The sequence below is a fragment of the Homo sapiens genome, chromosome 15 (genome assembly GCF_000001405.40).
Source record: "Homo sapiens chromosome 15, GRCh38.p14 Primary Assembly".
In the NCBI taxonomy this organism is placed as follows: domain Eukaryota; kingdom Metazoa; phylum Chordata; class Mammalia; order Primates; family Hominidae; genus Homo; species Homo sapiens.
The window spans coordinates 73463295-73482606 of record NC_000015.10 but is presented as its reverse complement, the minus strand read 5'-3'; the positions used below and the strand labels follow the sequence as shown (position 1 = coordinate 73482606).

The window sequence follows — 19312 nt, the reverse complement described above, 5'->3', positions numbered from 1 at the left end:
ATGACAAATACTGTATGATTCCTCTTGTATTAGAGGCTGTTTTTACATTGCTATAAAGGAATACCTGAGGCTGGGTAATTTATGAAGAAAAGAGGTTTATTTGTTTCACAGTTCTGCAGGCCATATAGAAAGCATGGCACCACCATCTACTCAGCTTCTGGTGAGGCCTCGGAAGCTCCCAATCATGGCAGAAGGCAAAGGGGGAAGAGGCATGTCGCATGGCAAGAACAGGAACAAGAGAAGGGGGAAGTGCCTCACTATTTTAAACAACCAGATCTTGCATGAACTCAGAGCAAGAACTCACTTATTATCGTGAGGACAGCACCAAGCCATTCATGAGGGATACACCTCCTACAGGCCCCACCTTCAACACTGGGGATTACATTTCAACACAAGATTTGGAGGGGACAAACATCCAAACTATATCACCATTATATGAGGTACCTACAATAGTCAAATTCATAGAAACTGAAAGTAGAATGGTGGTTACCAAGGGCTTGGGGGAAAAATAATGGGCAGTTGTTTAATGGGTACAGAGTTTTCGTTTTGCAAGATGAAGAGTTCTGGAGATAGATGGTGCTGCTGGTGGCACAATGATAGGAATGTACTTAATGTCAATGACATGTACACTTAAAAATGGTTAAGATAGGCCAGGCGCAGTGGCTCACGCCTGTAATCCCAGCACTTTGGGAGGCCGAGGTGGGCAGATCACAAGCTCAGGAGTTTGAGACCAGCCTGACCAACATGGTGAAACCCCATCTCTACTAAAAATACAAACATTAGCCCCTGGCGTGGTGGTGTGCAGCTGTAATTCCAGCTACTCAGGAGGCTGAGGTAGGAGAATTGCTTGAACCTGGGAGGCAGAGGTTGCGGTGAGCCGAGACTGTTCCACTGCACTCCAGCCTAGGCGACAGAGTGAGACTCCGCCTCAAAAAAAAAAAAAAAAAAAAAAAAAAGGGAGTTAAGATGGTAAATTTTATGTTACATGTATTTACCACAATTAGGGAAAAAAAAAATGTGAAACCCAAAACGGCCAAGGGAGAATCTGTTCAAACTCTCAAGACTAGCAAGGGAAAGTCAGTTGAGCCCAAGTCCAAGGTAAACTGAGGATGGGGTCAAGATATCTCAGCCTTCTTGCTATATTAACCCTTTGACATAAATGACAATAGAACAGTCTAGTGGTATGTCTCCATGGAGCCCTCTGGCAGTGATGTCCCCAGTTGAATGCAGGTGCTATATGAACAAGCAAGATGGAAATCTGTAGTATTACTAGATACCATGCATGCAGTTTAATCTGAAGCATTAAGTTCCCATGGATCTCACAGGGAGTGGCAATCAAAGACCTATGATGGTTAAAGGAAATTAAATTTAAATAACTTCCCAGGACCAAGCAGAAAGCCCAAAACCATGTTGACGTGTTTTGAGTTTTACATAAACATATCACACACATGAAGCTGTTACTAGGCTGTTACTACTTTTTGGAGGGGTTTTATGGATGCAGCTTCCACACAACTTTGAAAATATAAATATATGATATTTAGATTCACGCCAGTGATTGAATAATTGTACTAAGACAGAAATGGCTAAAACTTTCTATGGCTGTCCTGTCTCTACCTTTTATGAAAAAAGTTCTAAGGCCAGGTGCGGTGGCCTGTAATCCCAGCACTTTGGGAGGCCAAGGTGGGTGAATCACCTGAGGTCAGGAGTTCGAGACCAGCCTGGCCAACATGGTGAAACCCCATCTCCACTAAAAATACAAAAGTTAGCTGGGTGTGGTGGTGGGCACCTGTAATCCCAGCTACTCAGAAGACTGAGGCAGGAGAATCGCTTGAACCCAGGAGGCGGAGGTTGCAGTGAGCTGAGATCATACCACTGCATCCCAGCCTGGGCGAAAGAGTGAGACTCCATCTCAAAAAAAAGTTCTAAAAATGTATCATGACCCAGATTAGTATGAAAGGAGAGGGTGTGTAAATGTAATACCAACATAAAATTACACATGTTATAAATGCGTTATAATCCAAATGTGTTTGCTCTTCTACGTGTTGCTTTCTGTGGAGGCCAAGAAAGATTATGAATAAATGGCATGAACTGATGAAAATTATTCTGTAATTTAGGGGGCAAAATATATTTTAAATATGTATTCTTATTTTTATCACACTTACATATGTACATAATTTAAAAAATCAAATACTTCTACAATAAAGGTTGATTCAGTAATTGAAAATTTTTATTATAAAATTTAAAAATTTTAAATAAATTTGTTTATTTAAATAATTTATTTATTATTAAGCCTGGGTGACAGAACGAAACTCCATTTCAAAAAAATAAAAATAAAAAAAATTAGCAAAAGACCTGAATAAGCATTTTCCACAAATGACATAAATGGCCAACAGGTATAAGAAAAAGTGTTCAACATTACTAATCATCAGGGAAATGCAAATTAATACCACAATGACATTATTCCCTCATACTTCTTAGGATGGCTACTATTAAAGAGACAGAAGACAAGAGGTATTGGTGAGAATATGGAGAAAAAGCAATCCTTGTACAATGTTGGTGGTAATGTAAATTGGTATAGCCATTTTGGGAAATAGTATGGAGTTTCCTCAAAAAATTATAAATAGAATTACCATATGATCCAGCAATCCCACTTCCAGGTATATACCCAAAGGAAATGAAATTAGTATTTTGAAGAGGTATCTGTACTCCACATTCACTGCAGCATTATTAACAATAGTCGAGATACAGAAATAACCTAAGGGTCCATCAGTGGATAAGTGGATAAAAAATTGTTATGTATATAGGTACATATACACACATGAATATTATTCAGCCTTAAAAAAGAAGGCATCCTACCATTTTCAACAACATGGATGAACCTGGAATACATTATGCTAAGTGAAATAAGCCAGACACACACAAAAATTACATGATCTCACTTATATATGAGATCTAAAATAGTAAAATTCATAGAAGCAGAGAATAGAATAGTGGTTACTAGGGGTGGGCCAGGGAAGGTAGAGGAAATGAGATGTTGGTCAAAGGGTATGAAGCTTCAGTTATATAGGATGAATAAATTCTAGAGATCTAATGTACAGCATAAATATAGATAATAGCACTATATTGTATATTTGAAATCTGCTAGAATAGATCTTAAATATTCTCACCATACATATATAAAATGGTAATTGTGAGGTAACGATATGTTAATTCGTTTGACTACAGTCATTGTTTTACAATGTATATCAAAACATTACATTGTATACCTTAATTATATGTATATTAATATATATAATTTTTATTTAAAAATAGATAAATACCAGAAGCTCAAAGGGAAAAAACAAGTCCCTTAGCAAACTAGGAATAGAAGGGAACTTCCCTGGTTTTATGAATTGGATCTACAAAAAAAAAAACCTACAGCTAACATTATATTTAATGGTGAAAAGACTAAATGCTTTCCCCCTAAGATGGGGAAACAAGGCAAGGACATCAACTCTCACCATTGCTATTCAACATTGAAAAGGACATCCTAGCCAGCATAATCTGTGGGAAGCGGGTGAGGCAGGCAGGGAGAGTATACAGATTGAAAGGAAGAATGTAAAACATCTTTATTTACAGAACACAGATCATGTATGTAGAAAACCCTAAAGAATTTACAAAAAAGCTGCAGAACTAATGAGTTCAGCAAGATCATCACAGGATACAAGGTCAATATTTAAAAATCAATTATGTTTCTAAACATCAGCAACAAACTATTAGATATTGAAATTTTAAAATCCTACCTACAAGAACATAAAAAATATGAAATATTTGTGGATAAATTTAGCAAAGTATGTGCAAGACCTGTATTATGAAAACTACAAAACATTGATGAGAGAAATCAATAAATGGAGAGTTTTAAATATGCTCACTACTTAGAAGATGGTAAAAGAAATCAATTCTTCTCAAATTGATTTATAGATTCAAATCAGTCCCATCACAATCCCAGCAAGCTTTTTTGTAGGAAATGTCATTCTAAAATTTATATGGAAATGCAAATGACCTATAATAGTCAAAACAACTTTGAAAAAGAACACAGTTGGAAGAATTAAACTACCTGATTTCAAAAATTACAACAAAGCAGAAGACAGTGTGTTATTGGAGTAAGGATAGACATATAGATCAACAGAACAAAAAAGAGTCCAGAAATAGACTAACACATACTTAGCAAATTAATTTTAAACAATGATACCCAGGTAATTCAATGAGAGAAAGCTAGTCTTTTCAATTAATGGTACTAAAATAATCGATATCCACGTGCAAAAAATAAACCCAAATTCTTTTTTTTTTTTTTTTTTTTTTTTGAGACAGAGTCTCACTCTGTCACTGAGGCTGGAGTGCAGTGGCACCGTGTCGGGTCACTGCAACCTCTGTCTCCTGGGTTCAAGCAATTGTCCCACCTCAGCCTCCCGAGTCACTGGGATTACAGGTGCCCACCACCACACCAGGCTAGTTTTTATATTTTTAGTAGAGATGGGGTTTCACCATGTTGGCCAGGCTGGTCTCGAACTCCTGATCTCAGGTGATCCACCCACCTTGGCCTCACAAAGTGCTGGGATTACAGGCGTGAGCCACCACGCCCGGCCAATAAACCCAAATTCTTAACTGTCACCATATATTAAAATTAATTCAATGGTTCCAGAAGTAAATTGCCTAAGATCCATGATTACATTCCATAATATAGTAATTTTTATCAATACCACATTGCTTTAATTGTGGGAAAGAAGGACCACTACATGAAATAAAAATAAAAATATTAATACTAAAAAAATTCATAATGAACTAGAGGCCTAAATATAAGAGCTGAAAGCATAAAGCTTCTAGAAGAAAACATTTTTAAAAATCTTTGCAGCCAGGCACAGTGACTCATGCCTATAATCCCAACACTTTGGGAAGCTGAGGTGAGAGGATCGCCTGAGTCCAGGAGTTTGAGAGCAGCCTAGGCAACATAGTGAGATCCTGTCTCTACAAAAACTATAACAAATTAGCCAGGCATGGTGGTGTATGCCTACAGTCCCAGCTACTCAGGAGGCTGAGATGGGAGGACTACTTGAGCCTGGGAGGTCAAGGCTGCAGTGAGCTATGATCACACCACTGTACTCCAGCCTAGGTAACAGGGCAAGATCCTGACTCAAAAAAAATGACTTTGCAATCTTGGCATAGGTAAAAATTTCCTAAGTAGTATACAAAAAGGATAAACCATAAGAGAAAAAAATATTGAACTTCAAAATTTTTAACTTCTGCTCTTCAAAAGACACAAAGAAATGAAAAGGTAAGCTATAAACTGGTAGAAATATTTGAAGAACACATTTCTGATAAAAGAGTTGTAACCAGAGTAAGAATTTTTAAATTCGAATATAAGAAGGCAAACAACTCAATGGTTAAAAGACACGAACAGACACTTCACCAATGAGACATACAAATGGCAAATACGTGAAAAGATGCTCAACAGTATTAGTCACTAAAGAAATGCAAATTAAAACCACCATGAGATAATACTACACACTTATTAGGATAGATAAGTTAAAAAGACTGACAATACCAAGTGTTGGTGAGGATGTGGAACATGTGGAACCCTCATACGTTGCTTATGAGAATGCAACTTTGGAAAACAGTTTTGCAGTTTCCTATAAAGTTAAACACAGACACACCATATGACTCAGCGGTTCTTCTCTTGGACATTTAACGATGAAAAATGAAAACATGCCCAAAGGCTCGTATACAAATATTCAGTAGTGTTATTCATAACAGCTGAAAAAATGAAAACCACCCCAATGTCTATCAAAAGTTGAATGGATAAGCAAAATAGGTTTACCTATGCAATGGAATATTCTTCATTAATGAAAAGGAATAAACTACTGATAACATGGAACAACAGAGATGAATCTCAAATTATACTGAATGGAAGAAGCCCAACTGAAAAGACTACATATCATATGATTCCATTACATGAATTCTAGAAAAGGCAAAACTACAGTGAGGTAATGCATATGTTAATTAGCTAGATTTAGTCATTTTACAATGTATATATACTTCAAAATAACGTACACAGTAAATATATACAATTTTATCTGTCAATTAAAGATATATATAAACAAAAATTATTTTAAAAAAGGCAAAACTAGAGTGACAGCAGATCAATGGTTTCTAGGTGCTGAGGGTGGGCAGAGAAGCTCACTGCAAAGAGCCACAAGGAAATTGGGTTAATTGAAATGTTCTGTATCATGATTGTGGCGATGGTTACATGACTATAGATTTATTAAAACACTTCAAATTGAACACTTAAAGTCAGTGAATTTTATGTAAATTATACCTCAATAAAAGTGATTTTTAAAAATAATTTTAAAAAAGATTAAACAAATTACAATATTTAAGTTATATATGTATAGTCATATGTCACTTAACAATGAGGATATGTTCTAAGAAATGTGTCATTAGGTGATCTTGTCATTGTGTGACTATCATAGAGTACACTTATGCAAACCTCGATGGTACAGCCTACTACATATGTGGGTCACGTGGGATAGCCTATTGCTCCTAGGCTACAAACCTGTAAAGCATGTTACCGTACTGAACCCTGTAGGCAACCGTAACACTAACACAATGCTAAATATGTGTATATCTAAGCATAGAGAAGGTACAGTAAACATTACACCTGTATAGGGCACTTACCATGAATGTAGCTTGCAAGGTGAAAATTGCTCTGGGTGAGTGAGTGGTGAATGAATGTGATGGCCTAGGACATTACTGTACACTACTGTAGACTTTATAAACACTGTACACTCAGTTAACTATCCTAATTAAGTGTGTATTGTTATCTCATGGTGGTTTTAATTTGCATTTCCTTAATGACTATTTTTTATAAATAAATTTATTTTAAAAAGTATCTTTCTTCAATCACAAATTAACCTTAGCTTACTGTAACATTTTTACATTATAAACTTCAAAAAAATTTTAAAAAACATTTGGACTGTTTTACAATAACTTAAAACATATACAATATTTTTTCTAGTTTTACATTTTTAAAATCATTGTATTTTAAAAACCTTTTGTTAAAAACTAAGACACAAACATGCACATTAGCCTATGCCTACAAGGGCCAGTATCATCAAGACATCACAGGTGATAGGAATTTTTCAGCCCCCTTATAATCTAATGGGATCACTATCATATCTGTGGTCCTCTCTTGACTAATATGTTGTGATGAGACACATGACTGTATATGCAACATGCACCAAATTGCAGAGTTATCCTTACATTTCTCTGTAGTGGGTATCTTGGAATTTGATAACTTGGTTTTGTGACTACAGTGCAAAAATCATTCTATGTGTGATACAAAGAAATTTCTATCCATTTGTTCATAATAGTCACCACTGGGGCAAAAAGATGGAGCAGAGACACAGTATGGGGTGGTCTAATATGCCCGAGGAAGCCAAACTGCATTAATGTCACCATTCAGCAAAGACCCATGATATTGGCAGGGAGAACTAACTGTGCACTAGGTATTCTTCAAGTCTACCATTTGCAACACTCATTAGCAGCTGAAGAAACCTTTATCTCTTGCAACTGATGCAGACCCTGACAGTAGCAGATAAAGCAAAATAGTACAACGCATGCTGCAGTTTTAAAAGTCACGAGGAATACAAAGATGACTTTGCAGGTCATCTCACGTTCAATGAGAAGGCTATATTTAAGCGGAAATATGAATCATCACAACATACACATGTGAGATCCTACCATATTATGATAGAACATGTAAGTGATCCAAAAAGAATTAATGTCTTTTAAATGTACTTGACCTATTTGCTTATTGCTGTTTTTCCCCCACTAGAATGATGATATCCCATAATGAAAGAGATTTCTGTCTTCACTGTTCACTGCTATATCCCTAGCATCCCCTAAAATGCCTAGCATATACAATTACTCAATAAATATTTGTTAAATTATGCCCATGTAGATAGTAAATATTTGTTGTATGAATTTATGTCAATGTAGACCCCATTCACAGCTAAATGATATAATAACTTTCCCTTATATGTTCCTTTCTTGTACAATTCCTTTGATTGGAAGTTACCAATTGTTTTTTTTCTTTCATTTGGTTTCTATGTACCAAATAAAACCTAAACTTTCAACCAAGTTGATTCTTATTTTCTTTACATATTTCTTCATTCCAAAATTTCCTAAAGTGTACATATATTCAGAATAAAGAACACATGTATCACCATAAAATTAGAGTTTTATAGAGGACGCTATCAATTAACAGTAACACCTTTTTGTTTTCTTTATTTCTGCAAATCTATCCCTCTGCATATGCTGTTTTCCCTATCTGGAAAACCCTCCACACTTGTCTTTGTTAACAAGCCTATCTTAACTCAATCTCCCTTACTACAGAATCCTTTATCATACTGGTTAATTTCAATCTTTTGATCCACTCTGACTCCCAACAAAATCCTAAACCCCTTTAGGGCAGGCAATATTCAGTACGTTTCTGTATTTCCCACTATTATGGCACATTCGATAAATGCTTAATGTGTTGACCTTGATGAATTACAGTGAGACTGAAGAAGCTTGAGGATACAAAAATTCATGTAAAGCTAAGAAGACAAAGATGTATTTCCATATTAAACTGTTATGCATAAAACCTACCAGTAGTGTCTGTCCTTGGAAAATGAAGAAATGACCTGATATAACTATGGTGAGAACAAGATATCCAGATTCTTCATTGGAATCAAAAACCTTGAAAGGGAGAAGGAGAAAAATATGTAAAAGATAATACATTTCTATAACTGATAAACTTACAATACTGATGACCAAGTGTTTTCTCATATTGATCTTTTTACTCCGAGCATTCTCTTTGCTTTTCCATTCATTTAATCTGTAACCCTTCCCTTACAACTTTAAGCTTCTCCATATATATAGGCTAACAGCCAGACTTTTAAAAAATAAAATTAAAAGCCAATATTTTGAAACAGAAAGAATATCAGATTAAGAATCATGAGTTGTGGGTCCTGAGCCAACCACTTTTTAGTTACATTTTAATAAATAATTTATTCTCTCTGAGCCTCAGTATTCTTTCTGTAAAATGGAGATAGCACCTTACAGAGTTGCTGTAAGACTTCACAGTCCCAATTTCTTCAGCCATGTAATCCATTTTTCTTTTCTTTTTTGTTTTTTTTTTGAGACAGAGTTTCACTCTTGTTGCCCAGGCTGGAGTGCAATGGTGTGATCTCGGCTCACAGCAACCTCTGCCTCCTGTGTTCAAGCGATTCTCCTGCCTCAGCCTCGCGAGTAGCTGGGATTACAGGCATGCGCCACCATGCCCGGTTAATTTTTGTATTTTTAGTGGAGATGGGGTTTCACCATGTTCGTCAGGCTGGTCTCGAATTCCTGACCTCAAGTATCTGCCCACCTCAGCCTCCCAAAGTGCTGGGATTACAGGCGTGAGCCATCGCACCCAGCCCTCCATTTTTCATAACCCCTTAACATCTGGTGCTTTCCTTTGGATGAGCTCTAGTTTGTCAGTGTCACTCTTAAAATATGGTGCCATAAACTTACCATAATCTGCTTGGTGTAGTCTAATTATTTCCCATTACTTGCAATACTATTGCCTATAATCACATTAACTTTTTGAGAGGGTAGTACACTGAAGAGTTTGATCTTAAATCAATATAACCTCCTGACACTTCATTACCTATGTTGGTAAATCATACTTCCCTTTATTCATCTTGAACCTAAACATAAAACCTTGGATTAGCCCCATTATATTTTATCTTGTTAGATTGGATCTATAGTTCCAACCTATCGAGATATAGTGAGGAACCGAAGAAATTAAATCAAAATGTCAGGGAAGGACATGACTGATAGATACATTAGAGTGGGATCTGGGTCTTAAGTGACTATACTATATAGGTGGCTTTCATATCCTTAATAAACACCGTAAGGTAAACATCCTTACATAAACAATAAGATGTTATAGACTCATCTTAATGCCCAAAGTTCAAAATAATTAACACATACCTAATTCAACTTAGATATGTTTTTATGAGGTTACTGCATTCTACTAACAATGCTCTTATAGTTTCATACGTGGGGTTTGGAGTTTTAATGCTATATTTAAATCCAAGATTTCTACTGTGTTTTCTCTAATTCATTTTAAATTCCAAACTTAAAAAGTGAATAACATTTTAGATATCAAAGGGGATACAATAAGACCTGCACTAATTCCTTCAGTGGTTGTAATTCTCCCTCTTTCCCAGTATTTGGAACTTGGTCAGTGGCACAACACTCTTCTTGTCACAGTTTAAATGAATTATCCTGTGTGTTTTAATGACTAGTTAGAACCAGAAGCATAGCTAGGAGTCAAGTACAGCTTTCACAACTACAGTCTGGTCAATGAATTATTTGGAAGGCAATGTGTTAACATGATAGTTTAATGTTTTGTTTTAAGAAATGTAACATATATACCAAAAAGCATCCGAAATATAAGTGTACAGCTCAATGAACAATGACAAAGCAAATACATCACCCAGATGAAGAAATAGAACATTACCAGATTTCCAGAAGGTCCTCTAGTGTTTGCTGTCTTAAAATCACTATCTGCTTCTTTTTCCCTTAAAATAATCTCCCATCCTGACTTCTAACACTATACTTTAGTTTTAATTATATGAGTGGAATCATAAAGAATTATTTGACATTTGGCTCCATCAATGTTGTTGCATGTGTATTCATTTTCATGATTCTTGAATACCTTCTATGATGATACCACCCTTTTTTTGTTTGTTTGTTTGTTTGCTGATGGGTATTTTTTCCAGTTTAGGTTCACTACAAATAATACTGTTATGAACATTCTTACATATGTCTCTTGTTGGATAGAAACACTCACTATAAAGATTTCTATTTTTCCCAAATTATTTTTTTTTCAAATCATAGCCAACAACTTCCAGGAGAGCCCCAGTTTAGACTACTCTCTTGCCCTCCAAATTGCTACATTTAATCACCCAATCAACATCTCCATGTAAAGGTTTAATAGTTATCTCAAAATTAACAGCCCCTAACTTGAACTCCTAACCTTCTCATTCACTATTTACAAAGTACCTACCCTGTGCTAGGCTGTTGTAGACATTTGACATCACAACATTTTCACCTCAGAAAATAATTTTCTTCTTTTTCAGGTTTCTATATGCAACACTTAAGAAATTAATTCTTTCCTTCCATTTCTTTGGCTAAACCATGGAATCATTCTTGACTCCTTTTCTCACACCCATATCCAATCCATCAGCAAATCCTTCATGTCTATCTTCAAAATATCCATAATTCAACCACTTCTTATAGGTCTTGTCTAAATTATCATTCTCTCTAGTTGGATTATTATAATAATCTCCTAACTGGCTTTTCAATTTCTGTTCTTGCTTCCCTTCTCCAACACAGAGTTTATTCTCAATACAGTAGCCAGAGTGATCCTTTAAAAATATAAGTCAGATCATGTCATTTCCAGCTTACAGCCCTGCAATAGCTCCCTATCTCATTCAGAAGCTCCTGCAACGCACTCCACGGTCTAGGCCCTCCACTGCCTCTCTGCTCTTGTCCTGTAGCACCCACCTACTGTGCACTCTCATCAGCCACACTAGCCTCCTTCCTGCTCCCTGAACCCACTAGGCACACTGATTATTATAAACCTCAGGGCTTCTACAATTGCTGTTCTATCTGAAATTCTCTTCTTCTAGATACCACGACTCACTCCATCTTCAAACCTTAGCTTAAATATCATGTTTTCAGGTAAAACTTTTCCTAACCATCCATCTGAAAACTCCCCCATGTTATCTAAACCACACTACTCCTATTCCCTTCTCCAGCTTTATTTTTATCCATAGCTCTTACCACTTTGTTATATTTACTTGTTACTAGTCTTCCCTGAGCAGAAATTAAGCTCCATGAAGATAGAGATTTTTTTTTCCCCGTTTTGGACACTGTTATATTCAAATGCCTAGGATAGTACCTGGCACACAATAGACACCCAATATTTTGTTGGATGGTTAAGTAAATAAGAACTTTTAAATGAAGGCACCATATTAAGATGCAAAATTTTCAAAGGAAATAAAGATGTCTTCAGAAAGAATTCATCACCAGCAGATCTGCACTGAAAGAAATGTGAAAGGAAGTCCTTCAGGAAGAAAGAAAATGTTATCAGATAAAAACTAAGATCTCCACAAAAGAATGAAGAGTGCAGGAAATAATAATTACATGGGCAAATGCATAAAAATTTTACCTAAATATCTTTAAAAGATAACTGATAAATGGGATTATATTGATAAACAATATTCAATTTATCCAAACGAAAGGCAAGATCAAAATTAAAAGGGAACAAAGAACAGATGGGAAAATTATAAAACAAATAGCAAGATAACAGACTGAAACCCAACCCTATCAATAATCATATTAAATATAATAGTACATTTAAATGTAAACACCTCAATTAAAGGCAGAGGTTGTCAGATTGGATAAAAAAGACAAAACAAGCTATATGCTGCCTACAAGAAATGCACTTTAAATATAAAAACAAACAGGTTAAAAACAAAAGGATAGAAAAAATATATACCAAGCTAATGCTAGTCAAAAGCTAGAGTAAGGCCAGGCACAGTGGCTCACTCCTACAATCTCAGCACAGGCTTGCCCTGGCTAACACAGTGAAACCCCATCTCTACTAAAAATACAAAAAATTAGCCGGGCATGGTGGCGGGCACCTGTAGTCCCAGCTACTCGGGAGGCTGAGGCAGGAGAATGGCGTGAACCCAGGAGGTGGAGCTTGCAGTGAGCCAAGATCGCGCCACTGCACTCCAGCCTGGGCAAAGGAGGGAGACGGAGTCTTAAAAAAAAAAAAAAAAAAAAAAGAGTCTAAGGCTTGCCTAAGGCCAGGAATTTGAGATCAGCCTGGGCAACATGGCAAGACTTGATCTCTACAGAAAATGTAAAAATTAGCCAGGCACGGTGGTACACGCCTGTAGTCCCAGCTGCTTGGGAGGCTGAAGCAGAAGGATCACTTGAGCTCAGGAGTTCGAGGCTGCTGTAAGCTATGATTGCACCACTGCACTCTGCACACTGCACCCAGAGGCCTGGGTAACAGAGTGAGACTCTTTCACTAAAAAGATAAAAATAAAAAATAAAAACTGGAGTGGTTTTATTAATATTAGACAAGAATATCAAAAGGTTACAAAGAAGGTCATTTCAAATAATAAAAGGGTCAATTAATCAAGAAAGATAATCATCCCAAACATGTATTCCTCCAATACAGAGCTTAAAAATACACGAAGCAGTAAGTGATAGAACTGTAAGGGGAAACAGACAAGTTCACAATTACAGTCAGATTTTAATACCCCTCTCTCAATAACTGATAGAAAAAGCACATAGCAAATCACCAAGTATATAGCAGACTTGAGCAACTGTCAACCAACATGATTGATCGACATTTATTGAACACTCCATCTAACACCAACACAAAACACATTCTTCTCAAGTATACACAGAGCATTCACAAAGACTATATTCTAAGCCACAGAACAAGTTCTGGTTGATTTAAGAGAATGTTACCTGAGCACAGATGAATTAAATTAGAAATCAAAAACAGGTCTCTGAAAAAAAGCCCCAAATATTCTTATTTACTCATGGGTAAATAAGAAATTAAAAGGGAAATCAGAAATATTGTGAACTCAAAGTTATTCACCATGTTAACATATTAAAAAAGAAAAACCATATGATCACCTCAATATGAGAGAATGCAGAAAAAACATTTGACAAAATCCAACATCTATTCCTGATTTTAAAACTCAGCAAACCAGGAATAGAAGTAACTTCCTCAAGCTGATAAAGGGCATCTATTAAAAAAAAAAAAAAAACTACAGCTAACTTCATACTGAAAGCTTTCTCCCTAAGATAAGAAACAAGACAAGATGTCCACTTTCACCACTTCTATTCAACATTGTTACCGCAAGTTCTTACCACTGTAATCAGACAGGAAAAAGAATGAAAAAGCATCCAGATTGGAAAGAAGTAAAACTGTCTTTATTCACAGACAACATGATCATCTATGTAGAAAATCCAGTTGATTTTACTAGAATAAGTGAATTTTAGAAAGGTTACAGAATAGAAGATCAATAAATAAAAACCAATTGCATTTACATACACTAATGAAGAACTAGAACCTGAAATTTTAAAAGCATCAAAATTTACAACATCAAAAATATAAAATACTAAGGGATAAATATGACAAAAGAAGACCAGCACATTGAAAATTGAGAGAAATTTAAGAACACTTAAATATATGGAGAGAAATATTTTGTTCACAGATAGGAAGATTTAATATTATTAAAATGCTGTAATAGGCAGAACAACGGTCCCCCTAAAGATGTCTATGTCCTAATACCCGGAACCTGTAATATGTTATCTTACATAGCAAAGGGATTTTGCATATGTGATTAAGTTAAAATATCTTGAGCTGGAGGGATAGCCCTGAATTATCCAGGTGAACCTATTGTAATCAGAAGCATCCTTACAAGAGAAAGAGGGAGGCAGAAAGAGTCAGAAGGAATGTGATTGCTGGCATTGAGGATGGAAGGTGGGTAACAAACTAAGGAATGCAGGCAACCTCTACGTGTTAGAGAAGGCCAGGAAAAAAAAAAAAAGATTCTTGAGCCTCCAGAAGGAATGCAGTCCTCCTGACACTTTGATTTTAGCTCAATAAACCCATTTCAAATTTCTGACCTCTAGAACTATAAGCTAATGTTTGCGTTGTTTTAAGCCACTAAGTTTATAGCTTGTTACAGCAGCACTAAGAAATTAGTACAGACACTAATTCTCCAAGTTGATCTATCCAATCCCAATCAAAATTCCAAATTTTTCAAGAAATGCAAGAGTCCAAAGAGACTATATGCCAAGCATTTAAGTCAGTGAGTTAACAATAGCAAAGTATCCACTATGTACTGATCCCTCTTATAATATGGAGAAGAAAAAAGACATAGAAAGTCTCTGAACTTGAACTTCATTAATTCTTCATTCAACAAATATATGATTGCAGTATCACTGAACAAAACACAGATCCTAATCCTAATGGAGCAAGTGTGAAATGGTGATGCAGAGCAAGAGTACAGACAATACACAACAAATATAATTAGTGACATACCAAAGGTGGGATGTTGGGAGCAGTACACTGCAGGTGCTGGCAATAAAGCAATGCTTGGTCTGTAGAGAATTTATAAACAATTAAAAAGCTGACTAAAATCAGTTTATTACCACCATGTGCCAGTAATTCTAATCAATGTCAGTGATAAAAATACTCCTTCCTGAAAAAAACATTTTGTTGGTCTAAGTTCCAAATAATTACTGCAGTTACTGCTGAGTTTAAATAATATATATGTAAGCTTCAAAATATCAGATTTGTTATTTATTCTTAAATTGTTGTCTACATATAAGTTCATTGGGGAAACTCCCAGTTACAGCTAACCCCCATCCATGCAAACTTAGGCACATACACTTGTTTCAAAAGCAGTGCACCAGGCTTTCTTAAACCTGAAGACTGCTTAACATGAAGTTCTTAATCCAACCCTTTCTTAGGATGCAGTTGGCTTTTCCCTCCCTGTGGTACTACATTCTTGTGCATTTAAATGATAGATTCAAAATAAAACAAAGATAGCACAGTGATTGTAAAGACCAAGAAACAACTTGAGGCACTCCAATTCTGTCATTTTTATGGGACCTTTTGGTATTTGTCTAAAATTTAAAACACTGTTGCAAGTGTAAATAGCAAGATGTAACTTATTTAATAAGTGCAAATTTTAGTTCACAAAATATTTTACTAAATTTGAACAATATCTTTAACATTGAAATTTATTCTCTTCAAATTAAGTGTTTTGAAACTAAAGAACGTTAAGAGGGGATAAAACATATCAACAATTTTATTAATAGTTGCGTAAATTGTACCTTTTGGAAATGCTTAGGTTTTTGTTGTTGTTGTTTTCCTTCCCCCAGCGGGAGTCTTGCTCTGTCACCCAGGCTAGAGTGCAATGGCACCATCTTGGCTCACTGCAACCTCTGCCTCCCAGGTTCAAGTGATTCTCCTGCCTCAGCCTCCTGAGTAGCTAGGATTACAGGTGCATACCACCACACTTGGCTAATTTTTTGTATTTTTGGTAGAGATGGGGTTTCACCATGTTGGCCAGGCTGGTCTCAAACTCCTGACCTCGTGATCCACCTGCCTCAGACTCCCAAAGTGTTGGGATTACAGGCATGCACCACCGAACCCAGTCGGAAATGCTTAATTTTACTTAAAAAAACTTCACTTATTAGTTAATGAACAATTTCATAAAATATCAGTCTGTAACTGCAGAATCCAAGTTCAAACAGTTAACTAGATATAAAAACAATTGGTGGCCGGGTGCGGTGGCTCATGCCTGTAATCCCAGCACTTTGGGAGGCCGAGGTGGGCAGATCATGAGGTCAGGAGATTGAGACCAGCCTGACCAACTGGTGAAACCCCGTCTCTACTAAAAAAATGAAAAAATTAGCCAGGCGTGGTGGTGTGCACCTGTAGTCCCAGCTACTCAGGAAGCTGAGGCAGAAGAATCGCTTGAACCCGGAAGGCAGAGGTTGCAATGAGCTGAGATCGCGCCACTGCACTCCAGCCTGGGTGACAGAGCGAGACTCCGTCTCAAAATAAAATAAAATAACACAATATAAAATAAAATAAAAACAATGGGCTAAATAGTTGTGGATTTTTTTTCCTGCCTTATACTGTATTTTTCCTATTTATTTGGCATAATTATTATAACAAAACTCAGTAAGAGAGAATGTCCGCTGCATAATATTTTTCATTTAACTTGATTATTTCAGAAAATAATTTTATCATTCAGGGGAAGAAGATGTTAAAAAAATATTCATTCTAGGTGTCAGATGTTCTAGGCACATCACTGAACATAGCAAATAAAAAAATTATCTAGTATATGAGATAATGCTAAGAGCTAGGGAAGAAATAGAGCAGGACAAGTGGAATCAAAGTGCAAAGACAGGACACAGATGTTACAATATAAATAGAGAGGTTAAGGTAGGCATCTGAGAAGGTGAGGCTTGAGCAAAGACCAAAGGTATGAAAGTTAACCAGGTAGCTGGGGGAGGAGAATTCCAGGCTTATGATTTTTCAGATGTCTGTTGCAATCCCTCATCCAAAAGGTCTACATAATGTGCTCATATAGTTAGAAAATATCCATTTTAAGAACTTCCAAGGGGTTCAAGAAAAAATGGTAGCTTCATTGCATCCCTGAAGTCTTCTCTTTCCAAATCCAATCCAAATGCCATTTACCTTTCCTTAAGCAATTATTAAGACCAGCATCTGGCAGGGGACAGTGACTCACACCTGTAAGCCCAGCACTTTGGGAGGCCGAAGCAGGCAGATCACATGAGGTCAGGAGTTTGAAACCAGTCTGGCCAAGATGGCAAAACCCTGTCTCTACTAAAAATACAAAAATTAGCTGGGCGTGGTGGTGGGTACCTGTAATCCCAGCTACTCAGGAGGCTGAGGCAGGTGAATCTCTTGAACCTGGGAGGCAGAGGTTGCAGTGAGCTGAGATTGCAATATTGCACTCCAGACTGGGCAACACAGTGAGACTCCATCTCAAAACAAACAAACAAACAAACAAAAAACACATCATCCAAGACAGCCAGAAGGGTGGATTGAGGTCTCAGGGTCCACAAAAAAAGAGCTAGTAGGACGTTTTCCCCCTACAGGAGAAAGGAGGTACTAAGCAAGGAGCCCTGAGGCAAAGACAATGCTGCAGTTCTTGTGAGAGAGCCTAGTCCCTAGAAATTGGTGGACCTCATGAAGATGGGCAGACCAGACTATGTGCTCTGAAGTTCCTAGCGGTCTCTCAACCTCCAAGGAGTCACAAAGGAGTTGGCCAACTTAACTCAATCCTTCCTACTTCTCTACAGGAGGCCCACAGCACTGTGACTTCTGCATCTCCCAACACTCAGCACCTTAAAGTGTCCACTCTTGGAGATGACACCCAGGAGTGAAAAGACCCATAAGTTAGACAAAGGAAAATAGCTACATACCCAATGGGCTAAAGCAATGAAGAACAACAGAAAACCCAAAACACGAGGCTCCCGGGGGAACAAGCTGCTAGAGGAGACTGACAACAGCTTGAACTAAATAATAACTGTAATAATAATAAATATATATTTCTGTATTTCTTATTAAATAATGATAAATATAATTATTATTCACACTTGAGAATCTTGAAGCTAAAACTATTTTATGAATACAAATTTCAATAGCTAATTGAAGAATTGGATGGACACTATTGAGGCCAAATTAATAGTTTAAAAGAGCAAGCAGGAGAAAAATAGAGCAAAACTAGGAGAAAGAAATCATGTGTAACAAGATACACGGAGCAAAGATTCAGATCCAGGAGAAAAAATGTTAGTGAGAGGGTCTAAAGTAGAGGGAGAAAAAAAGACTGAGGAAAGGAACTGATTGAAAAAATAATAGAATGAAATATTCTACAACTGCAGAAAGAAGTGAGACTGAAGATACAAACGGTTTAAGTTCCAGGCATTAATGGGGATGGGGGTTTTAAAAAATCAATAACTAGACATATCCTGATTAAATTCCTGAATTCCATGGATAGAAGAAGATCTTAAAAGCTTCTAGTTAAAAACAAAAACATCCTCCAACACCGAAGGAGTCTAGGGAACCAACTCTTTTTTTTTTTTCCTTTTCCTGTCACCCAGGCTGGAGTGCAGTGGCACGATCTTGGCTCACTGAAACCTCTGTCTCGTGGGTTCAAGTGATTCTCCTGCCTCAGCATCCCAAGTAGCTGGGACTACAGGCATGCGCCACCATACCCAGCTAAGTTTTGTATTTTTAGTAGAGATGGGGTTTCACTATGTTGGCCAAGCTGGTCTCAAATTCTTGACCTCAAGTGATTCACCCACCTGGGCCTCCCAAAGTGCTAGAATTACAGGTGTGAAGCACAGCGCCCAGCTTAACTCATTTTTTAAGTGGTAAATGAAGAGAAAACATCAAGAATTTATCCTAGCTCTGCTATAAAAACCAACCACCGGGTAACCTCTAATAGATAAGGGGATGTTTTTCTTTACAGAAATATTCTAGATGATATATAAAGAAAATACAAGAAAATCCAACCTGAATTTGACAAAGCCTCTAGATTCAATGACCAGTTCACAAGAAATACAGAGCACAAAGGATCACATTAAACTGCACCACAGA

The 19312-nt window shown here is 36.6% G+C and overlaps 1 protein-coding gene across 2 annotated transcripts in view; it reads right to left on the bottom strand.

Moving 5' to 3' along the window:
• The window catches only part of REC114 (REC114 meiotic recombination protein), a 116850-nt gene that overhangs the window by 77407 nt on the left and 20131 nt on the right, over positions 1 to 19312 (bottom strand). For both annotated transcript variants that reach the window (NM_001042367.2, NM_001348772.2), the window contains exon 2: positions 8686 to 8775. In NM_001042367.2, coding sequence (NP_001035826.1) covers positions 8686 to 8775 — 90 coding nt within the window. The remainder of the gene's footprint in view (positions 1 to 8685; positions 8776 to 19312) is intronic.